General features: G+C 55.4%; 4 protein-coding genes across 19 annotated transcripts in view, besides 6 other annotated features; 1 reads left to right on the forward strand and 3 right to left on the reverse strand.

Moving 5' to 3' along the window:
• ZNF646 (zinc finger protein 646) overlaps window positions 1–1518 on the forward strand; it is an 11510-nt gene extending 9992 nt beyond the window's left edge. For all 9 annotated transcript variants that reach the window (XR_001752041.2, XM_047434956.1, XM_011545990.3 and 6 more), the window contains one exon: window positions 293–1518. Coding sequence is in view for 8 of the 9 variants with exons in the window: in XM_047434956.1 (XP_047290912.1) it covers window positions 293–414 (122 nt within the window). In the remaining variant the exon portion in view is untranslated. The remainder of the gene's footprint in view (window positions 1–292) is intronic.
• PRSS53 (serine protease 53) lies at window positions 759–6265 on the reverse strand. 6 transcript variants are annotated; one of them, NM_001039503.3, is made up of 11 exons: window positions 6074–6265; window positions 5128–5148; window positions 4859–5021; window positions 3955–4220; window positions 3659–3813; window positions 3286–3505; window positions 2432–2582; window positions 2102–2346; window positions 1880–2025; window positions 1441–1657; window positions 759–1131 (listed from the first exon to the last, which is right to left on the reverse strand). In NM_001039503.3, exons 1-11 carry the CDS (start codon window positions 6129–6131, stop codon window positions 1112–1114), a joined length of 1662 nt encoding a protein of 553 aa, NP_001034592.1. In that variant the 5' UTR covers window positions 6132–6265; the 3' UTR covers window positions 759–1111. The 6 variants fall into 6 exon arrangements, with proteins under 6 accessions (NP_001034592.1, XP_011544121.1, XP_011544122.1 ...); XM_011545819.3 differs by lacking the exon at window positions 1441–1657; XM_011545820.3 differs by having other exon boundaries at window positions 759–1657.
• Window positions 5942–6442: an enhancer, noted in NCBI's record as "H3K4me1 hESC enhancer chr16:31099941-31100441 (GRCh37/hg19 assembly coordinates)". NCBI's record gives its function as "activates a minimal SCP1, AML or CMV promoter by ChIP-STARR-seq in naive H9 embryonic stem cells {active_cell/tissue: H9 hESC(naive)}" and the evidence as "EXISTENCE:reporter gene assay evidence [ECO:0000049][PMID:30033119]".
• Window positions 8176–12119, reverse strand: VKORC1 (vitamin K epoxide reductase complex subunit 1). 3 transcript variants are annotated; one of them, NM_001311311.2, is made up of 4 exons: window positions 11879–12119; window positions 10634–10743; window positions 10105–10188; window positions 8176–8664 (listed from the first exon to the last, which is right to left on the reverse strand). In NM_001311311.2, exons 1-4 carry the CDS (start codon window positions 12049–12051, stop codon window positions 8456–8458), a joined length of 576 nt encoding a protein of 191 aa, NP_001298240.1. In that variant the 5' UTR covers window positions 12052–12119; the 3' UTR covers window positions 8176–8455. The 3 variants fall into 3 exon arrangements, with proteins under 3 accessions (NP_001298240.1, NP_076869.1, NP_996560.1); NM_024006.6 differs by lacking the exon at window positions 10105–10188; NM_206824.3 differs by lacking the exons at window positions 10105–10188; window positions 10634–10743.
• Window positions 10344–11052: an enhancer, noted in NCBI's record as "H3K4me1 hESC enhancer chr16:31104343-31105051 (GRCh37/hg19 assembly coordinates)". NCBI's record gives its function as "activates a minimal SCP1, AML or CMV promoter by ChIP-STARR-seq in primed H9 embryonic stem cells {active_cell/tissue: H9 hESC(primed)}" and the evidence as "EXISTENCE:reporter gene assay evidence [ECO:0000049][PMID:30033119]".
• Window positions 12206–13327, reverse strand: LOC124903680 (zinc finger protein ENSP00000375192-like). The gene has a single exon (XM_047435012.1). The coding sequence runs from the start codon at window positions 12698–12700 to the stop codon at window positions 12206–12208; it is 495 nt and encodes a 164-aa protein (XP_047290968.1). The 5' UTR covers window positions 12701–13327.
• Window positions 12233–12412: an enhancer, noted in NCBI's record as "active region_10745". NCBI's record gives its function as "activates an Ori minimal core promoter by ATAC-STARR-seq in GM12878 lymphoblastoid cells {active_cell/tissue: GM12878}" and the evidence as "EXISTENCE:reporter gene assay evidence [ECO:0000049][PMID:35858748]".
• Window positions 12443–12492: an enhancer, noted in NCBI's record as "active region_10746". NCBI's record gives its function as "activates an Ori minimal core promoter by ATAC-STARR-seq in GM12878 lymphoblastoid cells {active_cell/tissue: GM12878}" and the evidence as "EXISTENCE:reporter gene assay evidence [ECO:0000049][PMID:35858748]".
• Window positions 12543–12592: an enhancer, noted in NCBI's record as "active region_10747". NCBI's record gives its function as "activates an Ori minimal core promoter by ATAC-STARR-seq in GM12878 lymphoblastoid cells {active_cell/tissue: GM12878}" and the evidence as "EXISTENCE:reporter gene assay evidence [ECO:0000049][PMID:35858748]".
• Window positions 13108–13287: an enhancer, noted in NCBI's record as "active region_10748". NCBI's record gives its function as "activates an Ori minimal core promoter by ATAC-STARR-seq in GM12878 lymphoblastoid cells {active_cell/tissue: GM12878}" and the evidence as "EXISTENCE:reporter gene assay evidence [ECO:0000049][PMID:35858748]".

Here is a 22895-nt window from a genome sequence, read left to right on the forward strand (position 1 = left end):
TGGCCCTGAGATGGTGGGCCCTTGACAGGCCTTGTCAGAGCAGAGGGCAGGTGGGAGTCACCTGAAAGCTGAAGGAATGGCTTTAAGGATAGAAGATTTCTCATGACCTCAAGGGATATGAGGGAGGAGCCAGTTTGCCAGGGCTGGGAAAATAATTAGGAGGCCTAGAATCCCTGTTCTCATCTGGGCCTCCGGGGCCAGGGGCAGGGGAATGGCCTGCAGGGCTGGGAGGGGGTACACGCTGTGCGGGGTCTGCCCCTCAGTTGGTGACCTCCTCTCTCTCTCCCCCCAGGAGCCCCAGTGGCACCAGTGACGGGCAGAGGGGACTTGCCATTGCCCCCTCCACCCACCCCCACGACCCCACTCCTGGATCCTTCACCCCAGTGGCCTGCAGACCTCAGCTTCTCCCTCTGAACTTCAAGTCTCCAAAGATCAGAATCTGGGGGAGGGAGCGCGTGCAGGGAGGGGCTTGATCTCCACATTTTCTCAGGAGTAGTTCGGGCATCCCCATATCTTCTCCTCTCCCCTTGTGAAGAGGACCCAGATCTGGCTTCTTTCCCAAGGAGGGGGTGGGGTGTTCCTCGCGTCCCTGTCCTTGAAGGACCTCCTTCCCCCAGCCTCATCACCGTGCTCTTCTCAGCGCCACCCTCAGCAGCCAGATTGCAACACCAGGGAGAGGCGGATGCAGAGCCCCACCGGTGGGAAAGTTGCCTGTGGAAGGGAGCCTTTTGCTACAATTTGTAACTTATTTTCTAAAGTCTATTTTGTAACAATTTATTTAAGTTTAAAAAAAGGAAAACTGCTGCCCCCCAAAAAAAGAAATTTTCAAAACAACGTGGCTGGCGTGATTGTATCTGAAAGGGTAAAGGAGGAGGAAAGCTGAGACGCCTGCTTGGTAGCAGAGTTGGGTGTGGGAGTGTCCACAGACACCCCTGTCCTGCAGGGTGGGGAGTGGGCACCTGTGGCCCCAGGCAGGTTCCTTCCCACAGCTGCTGGGCTTCTGGGCCTGCCCTGGTGCCTGGAATCACACATGACAGGGTGGGGAGGACAGGGGCAGTAATGCCATTTGCCTGCCTGCATTCTCTTGTCCTGAGAATGGCCAGGTCCCCTGTCAGCAGCTGGTTGGTTGGCCTGTGGGGAAGGAAGGAGGGTGGAGTTGTCCTCATCCTCACGGCTTTGGTCCCTCCCTCCCTCCCCATTCCTCGAAGGAACAGGGTCTGTCTTGGCCGCCATGACAGATGAGAATACTGAGGCTCAAAGCGGTTGAGCAGCCTGCTCCAAGTCACACGATGACAAAGAACCAGAATCTGAATCAAATGGGTCTGCCTGTTGCTCCACCCTACCCAAGGCAGCTGGAGTGGGTTAGAACGGCACGTTCTCACTGGAGAGAGAAGGGTCCTGGAGAGGCAGGGTTTGGCAGGAGGCCCCGGGGCCACATACTTATGTTGGCCAGGCAGCTTCCAGGCTCAGCCTCGGGCTCTGGTTCCTCGGCGAAGTAGACCTGCCAGTCCAAACTGCTGACCCAGTCCTCATAGGCAGGGAGCGCGGTGAAGACCGCCGGCCTGGCGGGGCCTTGGCAAGCATCTCCGAAGCTGTGCAGCCCGGCCAGGAACCATGTGCCCCTCACCTCATGCACCAGTGGTGCCCCAGACAGGCCCTGTCAGGGGTCAGGTGACACTGGGTGACTTTTTATAGGCAGCTGTGCAGGACGGTAGAGCAGGCTAGGGAACCTCTGGCTGTTTGGGGGCTAATTGGCAAAAAGGCTTAGTTTCAGGTGGGAGGTGGGTCCAGAGGCCAAGCCTGGAAGGTCCGTTCTTGAGCTATTGGGTGAGGGGATGCCAGGGGCCTGTTAGGTAAGGTGTGGGGGCCTGGGGCTCACCTCACAGCTGGGCAGCTCACCCACAGCACTGGTACACACCATCCCCGGCAGAATAGGGCTGCCATCACCCCCAGGAGCTGCATGCAGCCGGCTGCAGGCCCTAGGCCCCAGGAGGGTCACGGGCACTGTCTGGAGGGAGCTGATGCCTGTGGAGCAAGGGAAAGCTGGCTGCCCCGGCCTGCAGGTTGGATGGACAGCAGCCCTGGCCCTGTGCCCACCTACCTGCTCCTGGGCGGGCCCGTCCCAGAACCCAGCCACGCTCCCCATCAGGCAGGTGGTGGTCAGGATAGGGCAGGCAGAGGGGCCGCAGGCTGGCTCCCAGTGTCACAGGCTGGGCCAGCAGCAGGAGGGCCATGTCGTAGCCCCCCTCAGGGTGGGTGTAGGCTCCATGCAGGATGAGCTGCTTCAGGCCCCACTCCTCCGGTCTGGTCCCCAGCCCTACGCTCCATTCCTCTGGGGCCTGGCGCCTGTGCAGAGGCAGTGTGGACGGCACCAGGTGACAGGGCTGCCGGCAGGGGCAGGGGGCACAGCAGAGAGGGATCCAAGACTCACCCAATGAAGCAGTGGGCAGCAGTTAGCACCGCCTCCTCTGACACCAGGGCTCCGCCACAGGCCAGCTGTCCCTGGTGCATCAGCCTGGCCTCCCAGGGCCATGGGGAGGGTGCTCCTGCCTGGGGACCTGCTGTCCTCAAGGATCCACAGGCTGAAACAGATAAGTGCCTCATCTGACTTCTTGCTAAGCACTTCCCACTTCCCATCAAATCCTCACAGTAGCTTTTGAAATTGAATTTTGTTCCCCTCATTACTGAAGGTAACCAAAGTTCCAGAGAGGTTAAGAGACTTCCTTGCTCTGTAACTACAGGCAAGTGGCAGACTTGCGATTCGCAAGCCAGGGCCTGAGCTTTTAGCCCTGTTGGTCTGATGGGACCCCTGTCCCAGCCTCGTGGGAATGCCCCTACTTGTCACTCCCCTGCTCCACCCGTCTGCACCCTCCAGGATGGGCCTGCCTCCCGTATTCCTGACTCATTAGTGCATCTCTTATCATCAAGACATAATATCCGTCCCAGGAATTACTTTGCATTCAATTTGCATGCCAGTCACTTAATGCCGGAATTCTGACTGGGAGCCCTACCCTGTGCAGGCTCGCTGGGTCCCTGCTGGAAGCCTGCCACTTCCCCAGAAACCCAAGTCAGGTCTCAGAGATTCCTCTTCTCACCTAAACTCCAAACCTGTAGAGTTCCAAAGTGCCTGTGCCTCTCAGCCCTAACAGGGCTGTTCCCATCCCAGGGGGTGAAAGAGCCCCCTAATTAGGCTCGGCGGTGTGGATGCCTATGCCAGTTCTCTAGTCCTAACTGAGGTTTGCTTCACAGTGGCTTCTGCCCACTCCCAGCATGCCCCACTCGTACCTACACAGCTGTCCTCATCACTCATCTCCGGGGTCTCTGGGCTCTGGGCCAGGAAAGCTGCCCCCTGAACTCGAGCCTGCAGCCAGGAACTGTGAGCAGCTGTGTTGGTCAGCAGCACAGGAGCGTCCTCCTGGGCACAGCTTGATGCAAAGCTGATGATGCCAGCCTGAACCCAGTGTCCGTCAGGCTCGAGGCACAGCACAGGGCCCCCGGAATCTCCCTGGAGCCAGGCAACAAAGCCAAGGACAGATGCCTGAGCCCAGCTATGGCAGACACCCTCTGATTGCAGGTCTTTCCCCCAGTCCTGTGAGTCCAACCCCCAGCCCAGGGTTAGGCCCCTCCCCTTCTGCTCCTTCTCTTCTCCCTATCAGACCTGACAGGGGCCCTGCACCCCAGGCTGGGGGCCCCCACATAGCATCCCAGGCCGGGCCGGGTTGGACAGGTGTCGCTGGTGCAGCTGGTTGTAGATACAGTTACATGTGGGGCGACTGATGAGACGCAGGCGCAGATTGCGTAGGGTCCCAGGAGCTGGTGAAAGAGACGGGGCTGGGGCTAGAGTCTGGGATCTGGGAAGCAAGGGAGACTGGAAGCCAGGACAGTTGGGAGCTGAGACTGTGACGCTGGGCAAGCAGAGTGCCTCTCCGAGCTTCAGTCTGGGCCAGCACTTACCATCACTGGTGTCCTGATCCCAGCCAGTGGCCCAGCAGGAGGCTCCAAAGGGGAAGCGATGGGCGGGCTGGGGCAGGCAGAGGGGTGTGTGGGTCGTGGGGTGGGCGAGCTGCAGCAGGGCCAGGTCTGAGCCCTGGCTGTAGTGGTTATAGGCCCTGGGCAACTGCAGGGCAGCCACCCCCACCTCTTCGGCCCCAGGGCTGAGTCCCTCACGCTGCAGAGAACCCAGGACCACTGACCAGGAATTCAGTTCTGTTGCTGCTGCCCTGGAAGGGGAAGGACAAGGTCCAGGCTGCTGAGTGCAAGGGTAGACAGTGACACCATGGGAGACCCCACAGGTAGGTGGAAGATAGCAGAGAGCACTCCACGGCTTTTTCTTTTTGAGGTAGGGTCTCGTCCTGTCGCCCAGGCTGCAGTGCAGTGGCATGACCATGACTCACTACAAGCCTTGACCTCCCAGGCTCAAGCGATCCTCCCACCTCAGCCTCGTGAGTAGCTGGGACTACAGGCGTGCACCACCATGCCTGGCTAATTTTACAGTTTTTGTAGAGACATGGTCTTGCTATGTTGCACAGGCTAGTCTTGAACTCTTGGGCTCAAGCGATCCTCCCTCCGTGGCCTCCCAAAGGGCTGGGATTACAAGCGTGAGCTACTGTGCCCGGCCTCAGTCTGTGACTTTAAGCGAGGTCATTCCCTTGCAACCTGAGTTTTCTGATTTGTAAATCTTCTACCATGAAAGGTGGTTGTTACAATTAACTTGACAATATGTACCCAGTACATGGCAGATTCTCAGTAAATGGTTCTTTATTATTACTCTAGAGGCAGGGACTAGCCTTGTGGGGCTTGAGACAAATTGTCCACTCCCCAGAGCCGGAGACCCTGCCTGACCCCAGCCATGACTTACTTTTCAAAGCAGTGGGCAGCAGTGAGGACCCAGGTGTCTGCCACCAGGGAGCCGCTGCAGATGTGGGCTCCTTGCCTCCTCACACTGGCCTGCCAGGGCCACTCGCCAGGGACTGTGTTGCCCTCCTGAGGCTTGGGGGGGCCGGGGCCACGCTGTCCACAGGCTGTGGAAAGGAGTTAGTCACACTGACAGCAGATACCTGTCCTGACCTCACCCCAGTCCCAACCCAGACCCAAGTAAGACCTAGGCCCCGTGTCCCCAGACCTTACCACGCTGAGCGGCTTGAAGACCTGGGAAGAGAGAGACACAGGTAAGATGCAGGGACTCCAGGCCTGCCTAGCTTTGGGGAGGAGAGGGGATGGGCTGGGGGGCGGGCCCAGGGTCCTTGCCTGTGACTCTGATTACCTTACCAGCCCCTCCCAGAATGAAAATATTTATATGAGGCCGAGACAGCTTTTATTGGAACCTATTCAGTGTGCACACTCAGTAATTAATTCTCCTTCAGCTGTGCTCAGCACTCTGGGGCTTGGGGTTCAGCTTGGGAGTAGGCCAGCCCTCCTCCAGGCTTCAGAACCCCCAACTCCTGCCCCCGCCACTGAGTCAGCCAGGCGGCCTGTGTGTGTAGAGAGCATTAGCTTAATTGTCCTCTTAGCAGCAGAGGCCTAAGAGGAAGGATTAGAGGCCTGCATCATTTCCAAGTGGGGAGGGCCCCAAGAAATGGAGACTTACCTCACCCTGGTCTAGAGACTCAGTCTTCCCCACCTTCCCAGAAACTGTCTGAGAGCCCGCCAGAGAGAGGGCCCCTGCCCACCGCCCCTCACAGGCACACAGGCACCCCATGAGACAGCTGAGCCAGGCTGCCCAGAGGATGGATGAAAAGAAAGGGAAACTGAGGCCAGAGGAGCCCAGAGTTTGCCTGACGTCATTGTGGAAGTCGAGGGGGAGGCAGGCACAGGACACACGCAGGCAGCACCTCACACACACACAAGACCACAGGCCCCGCCAACGCAAACTGCAGCTGGCCCGAGAAAATCTCATCCATGTTGACACAGGTGGCCACATATACCACCCCACAGAGTCCTACGGAGTTACATCCCCACTGGTGGACTGTCGCCCACAGGCGGTCCCCCCACCAAGAAGCAGGGACTGCTGGGGCAGAGATGGCCCCTGAGCCCCCACCAGGCCACACCCATACCCCAGCACATGGCGGCTTACCCTCCATGAGGACTGTGGCACCCGCGATGAGCAGCACTGGGCCCCAGCACCACTTCATGCTGCCCCGGGCCACTCTGCCACCTGTGCTCCACTCTGAGAGAGGCCACCTGGGTCTCCCTGGCTCCACCTCTGCTCCACCTCCAGTTGGCTAGGATTCAGCTGTCTGCTTGCCCTAGCCAGCAGTTCCTAGCTCTGGGGCTGTGGCTGTGTGACCCTAGGCTTGTCACCACCCCTCTCTGGGCCTTAGCCGTGGAGCCAAATTGTCTGGGTTTAAATCTGTTTCCTTACTACTTGAGTGGCCTGGGAGAGCTAACCTGCCTGTGCCTTGTCTGAGAAACAGTTGTTGAATGGAAAACGTCTCAATGACAGCCTGGCACAGGGCAAGCTCACTCCCAGCATGAAAGTGCCATCCTGGAACCATGGAGGGCACGTGGGCAGCTCCTCCCAGTCCCCACTTTTCATTTCCACTCCCCCACTTCTCTTCCAGCCAGGGCTAGGTGGGTTTCACATGCCTTCTCCCAGGTCTGCTCAGAGACAGTGTGTGCCAGGCTGAGTGGTGAGGAGCCAGCACCCACTGCTGCTTGCTCGCTGTGAGCCTTTGGCAAATCCCAGTATCTCCCTGGGCCTGCTGGCTTCCTGGGAAACAGGGTGACAGCGGTGCCCACCTTCCTCATAGGCGCAGAGGACTCGGTCAGGCGGGAAGAACACTTTGGCGCGTGCCTCCTCTTCCTCTTCCCACTCCTAACTCAGGCTGGCCCAGACCATTCAAGAACCCTGACCCCAAGACAGAGGCAGCTGTGGGTAAGGTTTAGCATATATTATAGATGCTGGCCGGGCATGGTGGCTCACGCCTGTAATCCCAGCACTTTGGGAGGCCAAAGCAGGCAGATCACCTGAGGTCGGGAGTGCGAGACCAGCCTGACCAACATAGAGAAACACTGTCTCTACTAAAAATACAAAATTAGCCAGGCCTGGTGGCGCATGCCTGTAATCCCAGCTACTCGGGAGGCTGAGGCAGGAGAATCACTTGAACCTGGGAGGTGGAGGTTGTGGTGAGCCGAAATTGTGCCATTGCACTCCAGCCTGGACAACAAGAGCGAAAGTCCGTCTCAAAAACAAACCAACAAAAAAAAAAGCATATAGATGCTGGAGCCAGATGGACCAGGTGGATTCAAATCCTGAGAGCCTCCTGCAGTAGCTGTGTGATCTCAGGCATACTAATTAGCCACTCTGTCCCTATCATCAAGATAGGGATAATAATAGTACCCACCTCATAAATCACTGTAAAGATTAAACGAGTTTAACACGTTAACACAAGTTTTTTTTTGTTTTTTGTTTTTTTTTGGAGACGGTCTTGCTCTGTTGCTCAGGCTGGAGTGCAGTGATCATGGCTCACTGCAGCCTCAACCTTCTGGGCTCAAGCAGTCTTCCCGCCAGCTTCCCGATTAGTTGGGACTATAGGTACATACACCACCATGCCTGGCTAATTTTTTTTTTTTTTTTTTTTTGTAGAGACAGGGGTCTCACTATTTTGCCCAGGCTGGTCTGGAACTCCTGGCCTCAAGTGATCCTCCTGCCTTGGCCTCCCAAAGTACAGGGATTACAGGTGTGAGCCACTGCACCCTGCCAACACAAGTTCTTAAACAGTGCTTGGCATGTAGGTAAGTGGTCAGGGCATAATAGGCAAAACAAAAACCTTCACAACCTGGCCCTGACCCTCCAAGGCTACCAATACTGGCTTGGAATGGTCGATAAGGCAACTGGAGGGGTTAAAGTTAAACTCAAGGAAGAACTTCCCAGCAAGCATTTACAGAACCAGAAGGGCAGCCTGCCCTTCCAGGTGTGTGCTCAGCCTTCCCAGGAGAGGAGGCCTGGCTCCTGTGGGCAGCAGGAGCGAGCTGCCAGCCTGTTTCCTGGGGGTGGGGGCCAATGGTGCCCCAGGCCTTGCTGACTCCACACACTGGAGATGAGACTACCCATAACCACCCTTCCCAGCAGGCCCTCCACTCTCCCTCTGACTCACCCTTCCCAGCTCCAGAGAAGGCAACACCGAGGGAGGCCCAGCACCACAGTCCATGGCAGACACATGGTTCAGACTTGGCTGATTGATCTAAGAAACTTTATTGCTCAGAACCTTCCCTCCCTGGGCAATGGAAAGAGCTTTGGAGACCAGCCCATGGGGACAGAGTCAGAGGCACTGGGTGTAAAAAAGAGCGAGCGTGTGGCACATTTGGTCCATTGTCATGTGCGGGTATGGCAGGAGGAGGGGGTAATCTAGAAGCCCCACATCTAGGGCCTTCTAGGGACCCAGATATGCCCCCTTAGGCAAGGCTCACATGCCAAAGCAAAGCAGATGAGGTCAGCCTGGCTTGGGTTGAGGGCTCAGTGCCTCTTAGCCTTGCCCTGGGGTTCTTGGACCTTCCGGAAACTGAGCCACATCAGGCTCACGTTGATAGCATAGGTGGTGATACAAACAATGCAGAAATCATAGAGCACGAAGAACAGGATCCAGGCCAGGTAGACAGAACCAGCGAGAGACACCAGGGAGCTCAGCAGCATCAGGACAGAGGCCCAGCGTGTCCGCAGGCAACCTGCAAGGCAGAAGAGGGTCCGGTGTGGGCTTCAGGCACTGGCCACCTCCCGAACACTCCATGATGTCACTGCACTACCTAGATGCCAGGAGCTGCTGGGAAGGGTCTCTAAAACAAGAGGCTCCAGGGCAGATGTGGTGGCTTACGCACGTATTCCAAACACTCTGGGAGGCCGAGGTGGGAAGACTGCTTTAGGCTAGGAGTTCAAGACCAGCTTGGGCAACATAGAAAGACCCGATCTCTATCAAAAATTTAGAAATTCAGCTGGGCACGGTGGCTCATGCCTGTAATCCCAGTATTTTGGGAGGCCAATGGGGGTGGATCACCTGAGGTTAGGAGTTCGAGAGCAGCCTGGCCAACATGGCAAAACCCCATCTCTAATAAAAATACAAAAATTAGCCGGGTGTGTTGATGGGCACCTGTAATCCCAGCTGCTGGGGAGGCTAAGGTGGAGAATCGCTTGAACCTAGGAGGTGGAGGTTGCAGTGAGCCGAGATCATGCCACCACATTCCAGCTTGGGCAGCAAGAGCAAGACTTCGTCTCAAAAAAAAAATGCCCGGTGAGGTTGACTCACGCCTGTAATCCTAGCACTTTGGGAGGCCAAGGCGGATGGATCACCAGGTCAAGAGATTGAGACCATCCTAGCCAACATGGTGAAACCCTGTCTCCACTAAAAATACAAAAATTAGCTGGGCGTGGTGACACGCGCCTGTAGTCCCAGCTACTCAGGAGGCTGAGGCAGGAAAATTGCTTGAACCCGGGAGGCAGAGGTTGCAGTGAGCCAAGATCGTGCCACTGCACTCCAGCCTGGTGACAGAGCGAGACTATGTCGCAAAAAAAAAAAAAAAAAAAAAAAAAAAATTAGCTGGGTGCAGTGACATGCCTATAGTCCTAGCTACTCAGGAGGATCGCTTGAGCCAGGTTACAGTGAGCTATGATTGTGCCACTGCACTCCAGCCTGGGCAACAGAGCAAGATTATTTCTTAAAAAAAAAAAAAAAGAAGGCTTCAACAGGTCCCCTCCAAGGGACTGGTCTCTGAAGCTCTTGCCATTGCCCAGGGAGGGAAAGTTCTGAGCAATAAAATTTCTTAAATAAATCGGCCAAGTCTGAACCATGTGTCAGCCAGGACCATGGTGCTGGGCCTCCCTCAGTGATGCCTTCTCTGGAGCTGGGAAGGGTGACTCAAAGGGAGCGTGGGAGCCTGCTGGGAAGGGTGGTAATGGATAGTCTCATCTCCGGCATATGGCATCAGCAAGGCCTGGGGCGCCATCGTCTTCCACTCCCTTGGTTCCTCTCTCTGTTCTTATGGGACTAGATACAAATTTTCCTGCTGAGCACTAAATGAGACAAAAGATAGCTCATGCTCAGCTTCTCCTTAAAAAGGAATTTCGGCATCTTTTCCACAAAACTGGGGTGTTGGTGGGGCATGGTAGCTCACGCCTGTAATCCCCCCAGCACTTTGGGAGGCTGAGGCAGACAGATTGCTTGAGACCAGCCTGGGCAACATGGCGAGACACCATCTCTACCAAAAAAAAACAAAAACAAAAATTAGCTGGGCATAGTGGTGCACGCCTGTGATTCCAGCTGCTTGGGAGGCTAAGGTGGGAGGATCCCTTGGGCAGGGAGGCAGAGGTTGCCATGAACTGAGATCACGCCAGTGCACACTAAGGGCATCCTAGACCTCACTTTGGGCAACAGAGCCAGACCCTGTCTCAAAACAACAACAAACAAAAAACCTGGGGACCTAGGATGTCTTTAAGGGCCCTTCAGCCTCTAACAGTACTTAAACCAATTAAAAGACTCCTGTTAGTTACCTCCCCACATCCCCACCCGCAGGACGCTCCGTGATGAGCAGCTAGCTGGCTGTCAGCTGTGTGGATCACCAAGATTGCATGGAGTGGGGCTGAGCTGACCAAGGGGGATGAGGGGCGGGGCGGGGCGGGCAGGGAGGGGGCGGAGCCACTCACCTAACAATAGCTGTAGTGTGTAGAAGATGCAACCGAATATGCTGTTGGATTGATTGAGGATGCTGTCCTGTCCCAGCACATGCTCCACCAGCCCGAAACCCCTGCCCCACCTGGCAGAGGGGTGGGGTGGGGTGGAACCAGGTTAGGACTGTCAACCCAGTGCCTTGGACCCTGCCCGAGAAAGGTGATTTCCAAGAAGCCACCTGGGCTATCCTCTGTTCCCCGACCTCCCATCCTAGTCCAAGGGTCGATGATCTCCTGGCACCGGGCACCTTTGGCCACGTCAGGATTCCATGTCACTGACCCTATCCTCCCCTCTCCCCAGACCAGGCCCGGACGTGGCTACTCCGTAGGCCCTGCTTTTCATCTTAGACCTTAAGTAAGTCTCTTTTTTTTTTTTTTTTTTTTTTTTTTTGAGACGGAGTCTCACTCTGGCCCAGGCTGGAGTGCAGTGGCGCGATCTCGGCTCACTGAAACCTCCGCCTCCCGGGTTCAAGCGATTCTCCTGCCTTAGCCCCCCCGAGTAGCTGGGATTAAGGCACCCGCCATAGCGCCCGATTAATTTTTCTATTTTTGGTAGAGACAGGCTTTCACCATGTTGGCCAGGCTGGTCAACTCCTGACTTCAAGTGATCCATCCGCCTCGGCCTCCCAAAGTGCTGGGATTACAGGAGTGGGCCACCGCGCCCGGCCCTTAAGTAATTCTTAAAATGGCAAGGCTGGTATAACGGTTCACTCGGTTTTGCATCAGAGACTGGGAGTCGGGGGCAGATTATCTTTGCCCTGGACCCCAGAATCTCCAGCTCCCTGGCCACTCACTCGCCTCCTCTGTATTCCGTCATTATGCTAACGCCTGGCCATCACGCACAGCCAGACCGGGCCACCTTGTTCCTGGGCGCAGCCATCGCCAACACCCCCCTTCACCTGCGCGCCGTCCTTGAGACCATCGTCAATCTCTACCGCCATCCTGCCTCCCCGCCTTTCCTGGTCACCGTTATTCCTTGGCATCCAATTCACGTGCGAGTCCCCGGAATAATCCCAGTCCCCAGCACTGTCTGGTCCCTTGCCTCGCACTCTTATTTCGAACACCAGTATCGCTGGGTAGCTCAGCCCCTGTGCAACGACCCCGCGAGCAGTCCAGCCCCGTGTCCGTTCCCCGGGCACACCGATCCCAGACTCCAGAATAATCATCTGGCATCCTGGCCGCCCTGCTCCGAGGCCCCACGCCTCCCACTCCCGTGCACACCTGGAGGAGAAGACGCGCGAACAGCTGATGGCGGTGCCCACGTCGCAGAGCGCGCGGTAATCCCGGTCCCGGGCGCGCGCCGCCTTCACGTGCAGCGCGTAGAGCGAGAGCACTAAGCCCGTCAGGCAAAGAGCGAGCCGCACCCAGCCAGGGCTCCCCCAGGTGCTGCCCATTATCTCCAGGTTCCGCCCGAGGCGCCCGCGGAGAAAACCAGCCACGGAGCAGGGGCCGGGCGGCGAATGGCCGCGCCCCTCCTGGCCCTCTGACTCGGCGATTGGCCGGCCGTGCTCGCACTCCACGACCCAAATGGCTGTTCCAGGGCGCTAGTCAAGCGGGCGAGTTAGGAAAACAGCGAAGAATGCCGGGACTAGTGAAGCGGGTAAGGGACGTGCGGAATCGCGGCCCCAGCGGCTGCCAGGCATGATGGGAGTTGTAGTCGGCGCGGCTGCAAGGCATCAAGGGAAATGAAGTCTCCACAGATTTAAAAACTGTTGGCCGGGCACGGTGGCTCACGCTTGTAATCCCAGCACTTTGGGAGGCCGAGGCTGGCGGATTACCTGAGGTCAGGAGTTCAAGACCAGCCTCGCCAACATGGTGAAACCCCATCTCAACTAAAAATACAAAAATTAGCCGGGCGTGGTGGCACATGCCTGTAATCCCAGCTACTCGGGAGGCTGAGGCAGGAGAATTGCTTGAGCCGGGGAGCCGGAGGTTGCAGTGAGCCGAGATCGTGCCACTGCACTCCAGCCAGGCCGACAGAGTGAGACTCTGTCTCAAAAAAAAAAAAGAAAAAAAAAAGTGTGTTAGTGTGGTTAACAGCATTTGCGCTTACCCTATGCCAAGTCCTGTTGTAAGAATTGCAGCATCCGGGACCTAGAGACCAGCGGATCAGGGGATCCAGCGAATACGGCGATCCGATTCGGGAACCAAGCATTTCCCCTGAAACTATTTCAGGCACCATTCGGGCTGCAGCCTCCCATCCTCCCGGGTCCTGCCTCACCAGTGCTTCCTGGTGGTCGGTCTCCCTTTCTCCCATACATTCACAGAACCACTCCTTTGGCCACACACACCCTTGACAGTATCCTAACCTCTCTACTATCATGGCGCCCGCCTGGCAACACCTGAGCTTGCATCAACTCAACAGTCAGTCTCTCCTTTCCAAGCTGTGGGCCAGATGAGGTCTCTCCTTCACAGACGTCCCATCTGATGGTGACCCATCTCTCCTACACCTTCAACCTCTCCATCCTCCCCATCTACACTGCAACTTGTTTCTCTTTCCCATCTCAGAAACAGCAACAAATCTCCCTTCACTAAGAGGTCCTTCACCAGCCTCCTCTCCCGGCATTATCCCATCTACCCCTCCACATTCAAGTTTTTGGAAAGATTCTACACTCCCAGTCTCTACTTCCTCACTTCTTCCTTGCTGCCCACGCCATAAACTAGCTGCTGCCTCCAGCATTGCCCTGACACCTAGTGGCTGGTGTCACCAAGACGCTAGACCCAATGGTTATTTATTTATTTATTTACTTATTTTGAGACGGAGTCTCACTCTGTCGCCCAGGCTGGAGTGCAGCGGTGCCATCTCGGCTCACTGCAACTTCCGCCTCCAGGGTTCAAGTGGTTCTCGTGCCTCAGCCTCCCAAGTAGTTTGGACTACAGGTGCCTGCCACCATGTCTGGCTAATTTTTGTATTTTTAGTAGAGACAGGGTTTCACCATGTTGGCCAGGCTTGTCTTAAACTCCTGACCTCAAGTGATCCACCCACCTCGGCCTCCCAAAATGCTAGGATTATAGGCGTGAGCCACCGCACCCGGCCAATGGTTGTTTTTCAGGTCTTCTCTTGCTTGACTTCCCAGAGGGATCCCTTACTGTTGCACCTACCCTTCTGGGAACTCTCTTCCTCTGGCGTCTGTGATATTTCCCTCTCCTGCTGGCTCCTCCCTCTCCAGATGCTGTTTCTCACATCTACTCTCTTCTAGAGAGTGTGGTAGACAGAATAATGGTCACCAAAGATGTCCCTGCATGAATCCCTGGAACTTGTGAATATGATAGGTTAAATGGCCAAAAGGGAATTAAGGTTGCAGATGGAATTAAGCTGACCAATCTCCTGATTTTATTTTATTTTATTTTGTTTTTGAGGTGGAGTTTCGCTCTTGTTGCCCAACTGGAGTGCAATGGTGTGATCTCGGCTCACTGCAACCTCCGCCTGCCAGGTTCGAGAGATTCTCCTGCCTCAGCCTCCCGAGTAGCTGGGATTACAGGCACCCGCCATCATGCCTGGCTAATTTTTTAAATTTTTAGTAGAGACAGGGTTTCGCTATATTGGCCAGGCTGGTCTTGAACTCCTGACCTCAGGTGATCCGCCCACCTCGGCCTCCCAAAGTGCTGGGATTACAGGCGTGAGCCACCGTGCCCAGCCTATCTATCTATTTATTTATTTATTTTTGAGATGGAGTTTTGCTCTTGTTGCCCAGGCTAGAATGCAATGGTGCTATCTCGACTCACCGCAACCTCCACCTCCCCGGTTAAAGCGATTCTCCTGCCTCAGGCTCCTGAGTAGCTGGGATTATAGGCATGTGCCACCACGCCTGGCTAATTTTTTGTATTTTTAGTAGAGATGGGGTTTCTCCATGTTGGTCAGGCTGGTCTCAAACTCCTGACCTCAGATGATCCACCCACCTGGGCCTCCCAAAGTGCTGGGATTATAGGCGTGAGCCATCATACCAGGCTCTATTGATTTATTTTTATTTTTATTTTTGAGACGGAGTCTCGCTCTGTTGCCTAGGCTGGAGTGCAGTGGCACAATCTTGGCTCATTATAACTTCCGCCCCCCCCCAGGTTCAAGCCATTCTCCTGCCTCAGCCTCCCGAGCAGTTGGGACTACAGGCGCGTGCAACCATGCCTGGCTAATTTTTGTATTTTTAGTAGAGACGGGGTTTCACTGTGTTGGCCAGGCTGGTCTCGAACTCCTGACTTTGTGATCTGCCTGCCTCAGCCTCCCAAAGTGCTGGGATTACAAGTGTAAGCCACCACGCCCAGCCTATTTTGTTTATTTTTTCAAAGACCCTTGACACCCAGGCTGGAGTGTAGTGGCACTGTCATAACTCACTGCAACCTCCGTCTCCCAGGTTCAAGCGATTCTTGCACCTCAGCCTCCCTAGTAGCTAGGAGTACAAGTACGTCCCACCACACCTGGCTAATTTATTTTTATTTTTGTAGAGATGGGGTCTCACTTTGTTTCCCAGGCTGGTCTAAACTTCTGGTTTCAAGCAACCTTCCCACCTCAAAGTGCTGGGAGTACAGGCATGAGCCACCACCACACCTGGCCTAATTTGCTGATTTTTATTTATTTTTTATTATTTATCTTAATTTTTATTTTGAGACAGAGTCTTGCTCTGTCATCCAGGCTGGAGTACGGTGGTGCAATCTCAGCTCACTGCAACCTCCCCCTCTCGGGTTCAAGCAATTCTTGTGCCTCAACCTCCCAAGTAGCTGGGATTATAGGTGCTGGCCACCACGCCTGACTAATTATTGTAATTTTTTTTTTTTTTAGTAGAGACGGGATTTCACCATGTTGGCCAGGCTGGTCTTGAACTCCTGACCTCAAGTGATCCACCTGCCTCAGCCTCTCAAAGTATGGGGATTACGGGTGTGAGCCGCCGTGCCTGGCCCAATTTTTGTATTTTCAGTGGAGATGGGGTTTTGCCATGTTGGCCAGGCTGGTCTGGAACTCCTGACCTCAGGTGACCCGCCTGCCTCCGCCTCTCAAAGTGCTGGGATTACAGGCATAAGCCACCATGCCTGGCCCACAGGGGTCCTTAAAAAATGAAGGAGGATGGCAGAAGAAAGTCAGAGGGAGATGTGAGTAAAGAAAAAAGACACAGAGAGCTGCAATGTTTCTGGTTTGAAGATGGAGGAAGGGGATTGTGAGCTAATAAATACGGGTGGCCTCTAAAGGCAAGAAAGGGTAAAGAACTGGATTCTCACTCTAGAGTCACCGGGAAGGAACTATCAACATCTTGATTTCAGCCCAGTGAGACTCTGTCAGACTTCTAAGCTACAGAACTGTAAGATAAATTTGTGTTGTTTTACATCATTAAATGTGCAGTAACTTGTTACAGCAGCAATTAGAAATGAATACAGAGGACTGGGCATTAGGCCTGTATCTCAGCTTTCTCTGATCTCCTGGTGTGTTCCTGTTATTTATTGTTGGTTTCCCCCAGAATGAGTGATCTAAGAGGAAGCAAAATAGAAGCCGCAATCTCTTTATGACTTAGCCTCAGAAGACACACACTGGGGCCAGGTGCAGTGGCTTATGCCTATAATCCCAGCACTTTGGGAGGCTGAGGCAGGAGGACCACTTGAGCCCAGGAGTTTGAGACACCCTGGACAACACAGGGAGACCCTCACTCTATAAAAAATAAACAAAATTAGCCAGGTGTGGTGGTGCACACCTGTAGTCCCAGAACTTTGGGAGGCTGAGACAAGACAATGACTTGAGCCCAGGAGTTTGAGACAGGTCTGGACAACGTGGTAAGACTCTGTCTTTATAAACATTTTTAAAATTAGGCGGGGCATGGTGGCTCATGCCTGTAATCCCAGCAATTTGGGAGGCTGAGGTGGGTGGATCACCTGAGGTCAGGAGTTTAAGACAAGCTTGGCCAACATGGCGAAACCTCGTCTCTACTAAAAATACAAAAATTAGCCGGGCATGGTGGTGGGTGCCTGTAATCCCAGCTACTCAGGAGGCTGAGGCAGGAGAATCATTTGAACCCGGGAGGTGGAAGTTGTAGTGAGCCGAGATTGCCTTCCTCACTCCAAGAGTTATAAAAGATTTTGACCATATTTTCTTCTAGCATTTAATCAATTAATTAATTAATGTGAGACAGTCCCACTCTGCTGCCCAGGCTGAAATGCAGTGGTGCAATCTCGGCTCACTGCAACCTCTGCCTCCCGGATTCAAGTGATTCTCCTGCCTTAGCCTCCTGAGTAGCTGTGATTACAGGCACCAGCCACTATGCGTGGCTGATTTTTGTGTTTTTAGTAGAGACGGGGTTTCACCATATTGGCCAGGCTGGTCTCAAACTCCTGACCTCATGATCCGCCCTCCTTGGCTTCCTAAAGTGCTGGGATTACAGGCGTGAGCCACTGTGCCTGGCCTTTTTCTTTCTTTTTTTTTTTTTTTCATTAGAGATGAGTTGTTGTTATGTTGCCTCTAACTCCTGGGCTCAAGCAGTTCTCCCACCCTGGCTTCCCAAAGTGCTGCTGGGATTACAGGAGTGAGCCACTGCCCCCAGCCTCTGACAGTTTTTGTGCACTAGGAATTTGGGAAGACAATTTTACCTGGCTATTTCTGGCTCATACAATTGCAGTCAGATGGTGGCTAAAGCTGGAACAATAAGCAGCTAAAACAGCTGAAAGATAACCTAGCATTCTCTCTCCCTTTCTCTGAGTAGTCTCCGAACCTATCTATGTTGTCCTCTGCATGGGCTAGCTTGGGCTTCCTCACAGCATGGCAGCCTTAAGGCTTTAATAGTCAGCTTCCAAAATGGTCCTCAGTGATTCCTGCTTCCTGGTATTGATACCATTGTGAAGTCTCTTCTCACATTGAAAGGGGCTGAACTGGCCCATTGGGATAATGCAGAAATGACAGTGTGTGACTTTAGAGGCTAAATCATGAAGATATTGTGGCTTCCATCTTGCTCCTTTGTAGATCACTCATTCTAGACAAAGCCAGCTACCATGATATGAAAGCACTCAAGTAACCCTAGGGAGAGAGGTCTCCTTAGTGAGGAACTGAGGCCCTGTAAGAAACGTGGGTGTGCTGCAGTCAAGTGGGCATAGGCCAAAGTAAACATCCAGAGTGACTCAGTGAGTTTAGAGTGCAGGCATATAGCTCCACTTGTTATCACAGCCGTGTAGCCATAACATGGGAAGGCTCATCACTTGGCTCTGAGCCACTGTTGTCTGTAAAAGGTATAATTGCCCTGCTGACACTGTGCACAGGGCTCGGCCCAACATGGCTTGACATGGGACATGGCTCTTGTGCAGGTGCTTGTACCCAGAGAAAGAGAGAAAGCCAGAGCTGTCCATCTCGGGGAAGCCAAGACACAGCTCAGCTAGCTCATGCCCAGAGGGAGAAAGAGTAAGGCTGTGGGGTGTGGTGGCTCATGCCCATAATCCCAGCACTTTGGGAGGCCAAGGCAGGTGGATCACAAGGTTAGGAGTTTGAGACCAGCCTGGTCAACATGGTGAAACCCCTTCTCAACTAAAAATACAAAAATTAGCTGGCCATGGTGGTGCATGCCTGTAATCCCAGCTACTCAGGAGGCTGAGGCAGGAGAATTGCTTGAACCCAGGAGGCAGAGGTTGCAGTGAGCCGAGATCACACCACTGCACTCCAGCCTGGGCAACAGCGCGAGACTCCATCTCAGGAAAAAAAGAAAAAAGAAAAGAAAAGAAAGAGTGAAGCTGCTGACCCTGAAGGGAGAGCTGGCCACACAGCTGTGTGTGTGTGGGAGCTGCCGGAGTAAGCAGCTGAGACAGAGCAGACAGTGCGAGAGTAAGATGTTGATGATGAGAGAGCTGCTGAATAAAGCCATGTCTCATTTACCTGCTGTCTCTCGAGTGTTCTTCTAGCTCCCTGCCTCACGTCCACTGCTTCCTCTCACACCTCAGCTGGGGCTGGACCCCAACCCTGAGCATGACGGGCCTTCTGTCAACAACCAGCAGTAACCTGCTGGGCATGTGAGGGAGCTACCTTGGAATCAGATTCTGTAAAACAGTCACGCCTTCAGATGACGGTAGCATTGGCCAACATTTTGACTGCACTTCATGAGAGACCCTGAGCCAGAACCCCCTAGATTCCTAACCCAAGGAAACTGTGTGTGATAAGTGTTTATTGTTTTTTTTTTTTTTTTTTTTTTTTGAGAAAGAGTCTCGCTCTATTGCCCAGGCTGGAGCACAGTGGCACAATCTTGGCTCACTGCAAGCTCCGCCTCTCAGGTTCACACCATTCTCCTGAATCAGCCTCCTGAGTAGCTGGGACTACAGGCACCCACCACCACGCCTAGTTAATTTTTTTGTATTTTCAGTAGAGACAGGGTTTCACCGTGTTAGCCAGGATGGTCTCAATCTCCTGACCTCGTGATCCGCCCGCCTCCGCCTCCCAAAATGCTGGGATTACAGGCGTGAGTCACCACACCCGGCCAGTGTTTATTGTTTTAAGATATTGGCTAGGCGCAGTGGTTCACACCTGTAATCCCAGCACTTTGGAAGGCCGAAGTGGGAGGATCACTTGAGCTCAGGAGTTCAAGTTCAAGAACAGCCTGGGCAACATAGTGAGACCTTGTCTCTATTTAAAAAAATGTTTTTAAGATGTTATGTTTGAGCTGGGTATGGTGTGGCTCACGCCTGTAATCCCAGCACTTTGGGAGGCTGAGGTGGGTGGATCACCTGTGGTCAGGAGATGGAGACCAGCCTGGCCAACATAGTGAAACCCCGTCTCTACTAAAAATACAAAAAATTAGCTGGGCATGGTGGTGGGCGCCTGTAATCCCAGCTACTAGGGAGGCTGAGGCAGGAGAATCGCTTGAACCCGGGAGGCAGAGGTTGCAGTGAGCCAAGATCGTGCCATTGCACTCCAGCATGGTGCTATGTTTTGGAGGTAATTTGTTACACAGCAATAAATAATTCGTACAGGGCACCAGCCTGGCCAACATGGAGAAACCCTTCTCTAGTAAAAATTATCCGGGTATGGTGGTGCATGCCTGTAATCCCAGCTACTTGGGAGGCTGAAGCAGGAGAATCCCTTGAACCTGGGAGGTGGAGGCTGCAGTGAGCCAAGATCGCACCACTGCACTCCAGCCTGGGTCACAGAGCAAGACTCTGTCTCAATTTAAAAATAAAATAATAATAATATAGGGCAGTCAGACTGCCCACCTGGCAGCTCAGGACTAGCACATGTGCTCCAGAAAGCCAGGTGGAAGCTACATATTTTATGATCTAAACTCAGAAGTCATATAGCATCTGTTCCACTGTAATCACAAGCCTTCCCAGTTCCAAGGGGAGGGAACATAGACTCCCTCACCTCTTGATACAAGAAGTGTCAAAGTTATATGGTAAGAAGTTGGCCAGGCCCTGCTTGTCTCTGTTGTTCATGCCTGTAATCCCAGCACTTTGGGAAGACGAGGCAGATGGATCACCTGAGGTCAGGAGTTTGAAGCCAGCCTGGCCAACATGGTGAAACCCTATCTCTACAAAAATACAAAAATTAGCTGGGCATGGTGGTATGCACCTGTAATCCCAGCTACTTGGGAGGCCAAGGCACGAGAATTGCTTGAAGCTGGGAGGCAGAAGTTGCAGTGAGCCGAGATTGTGCCACTACACTCTGGCCTGGGTTACAGTGCAAGACTCTGTCTCAAAAAAAAAAAAAAAAAAAAAGAGAGAAGTTGGTTGGGCCCAGTGGCTCACGCCTGTAATCCCAACACTTTGGGAAGCTGAGATGGGAGGATCGCTTCAGGCCAGAAGATCCATCGTTACCAGCCTGAGCAACACAAGGAGATCCCGTCCTTACAAAATTTTTTTAAAAATCAGCTGGGTGTGGTGGCAGGCACCTGTGGTCACAGCTACTCGGGATGCTGAGGTAGGAGGATCGCTTGAGTCAGGGAGGTTGTGGCTGCCGTAAGCCATGAACATGCCATTGCATTCTAGCCTGGGTAACAGAGTGAGACACTGTTTCAGAAAAAATAATAAAATAAAATAAATAATGTTGTAGGACAGGCGTGGGGCTCACGCTTGGAATTTCAGTGCTTTGGGAGACTGAGGCAGGAGGATTGCTTGAGAACAGGAGTTCGAGGCTGCAGTGAGCTGTGATCGCACCACTGCACTCCAGCCTTGGTGACATGAGCGATATCTTGTCTCAATAAATAAATACATACAGTTCTCTTTTACATCGAGTATATGTAAATTTTTAAAAATACATTGAAAGCGCTTAGAAAGCCGCCTGACTCTCCCTCTCCCTCTCCCTCTCCCTCTCCCTCTCCGTCTCCGTCTCCGTCTCCGTCTCCGTCTCCGTCTCCGTCTCCCTCCACGGTCTCCTTCCACGGTCTCCCTCTGATGCCGAGCCAAGGCTGGACGGTGCTGCTGCCATCTCGGCTCACTGCAGCCTCCCTGCCTGATTCTCCTGCCTCAGCCTGCTGAGTGCCTGCGATTGCAGGCGCACGCCGCCACGCCTCACTGGTTTTCGTTTTTTTTTTTGGTGGAGACGGGGTTTTGCTGTGTTGGCCGGGCTGGTCTCCAGCTCCTAGCCGCGAGTGATCCGCCAGCCTCGGCCTCCCGGGGTGCCGGGATTGCGGACGGAGTCTCGTTCACTCAGTGCTCTGTGGTGCCCAGGCTGGAGTGCAGTGGCGTGATCTCGGCTCGCTACAGCCTCCACCTCCCAGCCGCCTGCCTTGGCCCCCCAAAGTGCCGAGATTGCAGCCTCTGCCCAGCCGCCACCCCGTCTGGGAAGTGAGGAGCGTCTCTGCTTGGCCACCCATCGTCTGGGATATGAGGAGCCTCTCTGCCTGGCTGCCCAGTCTGGAAAGTGAGGAGCGTCTCTGCCCGGCCGCCATCCCATCTAGGAAGCGAGGAGCGCCTCTTCCCCGCCGCCTTCCCATCTAGGAAGTGAGGAGCGTCTCTGCCCGGCCGCCCATCGTCTGAGATGTGGGGAGCACCTCTGCCCCGCCGCCCTGTCTGGGATGTGAGGAGCGCCTCTGCTGGCCGCAACCCTATCTGGGAGGTGAGGAGCGTCTCTGCCCGGCCGCCCCGTCTGAGAAGTGAGGAAACCCTCTGCCTGGCAACCGCCCCGTCTGAGAAGTGAGGAGCCCCTCCGTCCGGCAGCCACCCCGTCTGGGAAGTGAGGAGCGTCTCCGCCCGGCAGCCACCCCGTCCGGGAGGGAGGTGGGGGGGGTCAGCCCCCCGCCCGGCCAGCCGCCCCATCCGGGAGGTGAGGGGCTCCTCTGCCCGGCCGCCCCTACTGGGAAGTGAGGAGCCCCTCTGCCTGGCCAGTCGCCCCGTCCAGGAGGGAGGTGGGGGGGTCAGCCCCCCGCCCGGCCAGCCGCCCAGTCCGGGAGGTGAGGGGCGCCTCTGCCCGGCCGCCCCTACTGGGAAGTGAGGAGCCCCTCTGCCCGGCCAGCCGCCCCGTCCGGGAGGGGGGAGGGGGGGTCAGCCCCCTGCCCGGCCAGCCGCCCCGTCCGGGAGGGAGGTGGTGGGGGTCAGCCCCCCGCCCGGCCAGCCGCCCCGTCCGGGAGGTGAGGGGTGCCTCTGCCCGGCCGCCCCTACTGGGAAGTGAGGAGCCCCTCTGCCCGGCCAGCCGCCCCGTCCGGGAGGGAGGTGGGGGGGTCAGCCCCCCGCCCGGCCGGCCGCCCCGTCCGGGAGGTGAGGGGCGCCTCTGCCCCGCCGCCCCTACTGGGAAGTGAGGACCCCTCTGCCCAGCCAGCCGCCCCGTCCGGGAGGGAGGTGGGGGGGTCAGCCCCCCGCCCGGCCAGCCGCCCAGTCCGGGAGGGAGGTGGGGGGATCAGCCCCCCGCCCGGCCAGCCGCCCAGTCCGGGAGGGAGGTGGGGGGATCAGCCCCCCGCCTGGCCAGCCGCCCCGTCCGGGAGGTGAGGGGCGCCTCTGCCCGGCCGCCCCTACTGGGAAGTGAGGAGCCCCTCTGCCCGGCCAGCCGCCCCGTCCGGGAGGGAGGTGGGGGGGTCAGCCCCCCGCCCGGCCAGCCGCCCCGTCCGGGAGGGAAGTGGGGGGGGTCAGCCCCCCGCCCGACCAGCCGCCCCGTCCGGGAGGGAGGTGGGGGGATCAGCCCCCCGCCTGGCCAGCCGCCCCGTCCGGGAGGTGAGGGGCGCCTCTGCCCGGCCGCCCCTACTGGGAAGTGAGGAGCCCCTCTGCCCTGCTTGAAGGCAGCATGCTCGTTAAGAGTCATCACCACTCCCTAATCTTAAGTACCCAGGGACACAAACACTGCGGAAGGCCGCAGGGTCCT

This window comes from Homo sapiens, chromosome 16 (assembly GCF_000001405.40).
Source record: "Homo sapiens chromosome 16, GRCh38.p14 Primary Assembly".
Taxonomy (NCBI): domain Eukaryota; kingdom Metazoa; phylum Chordata; class Mammalia; order Primates; family Hominidae; genus Homo; species Homo sapiens.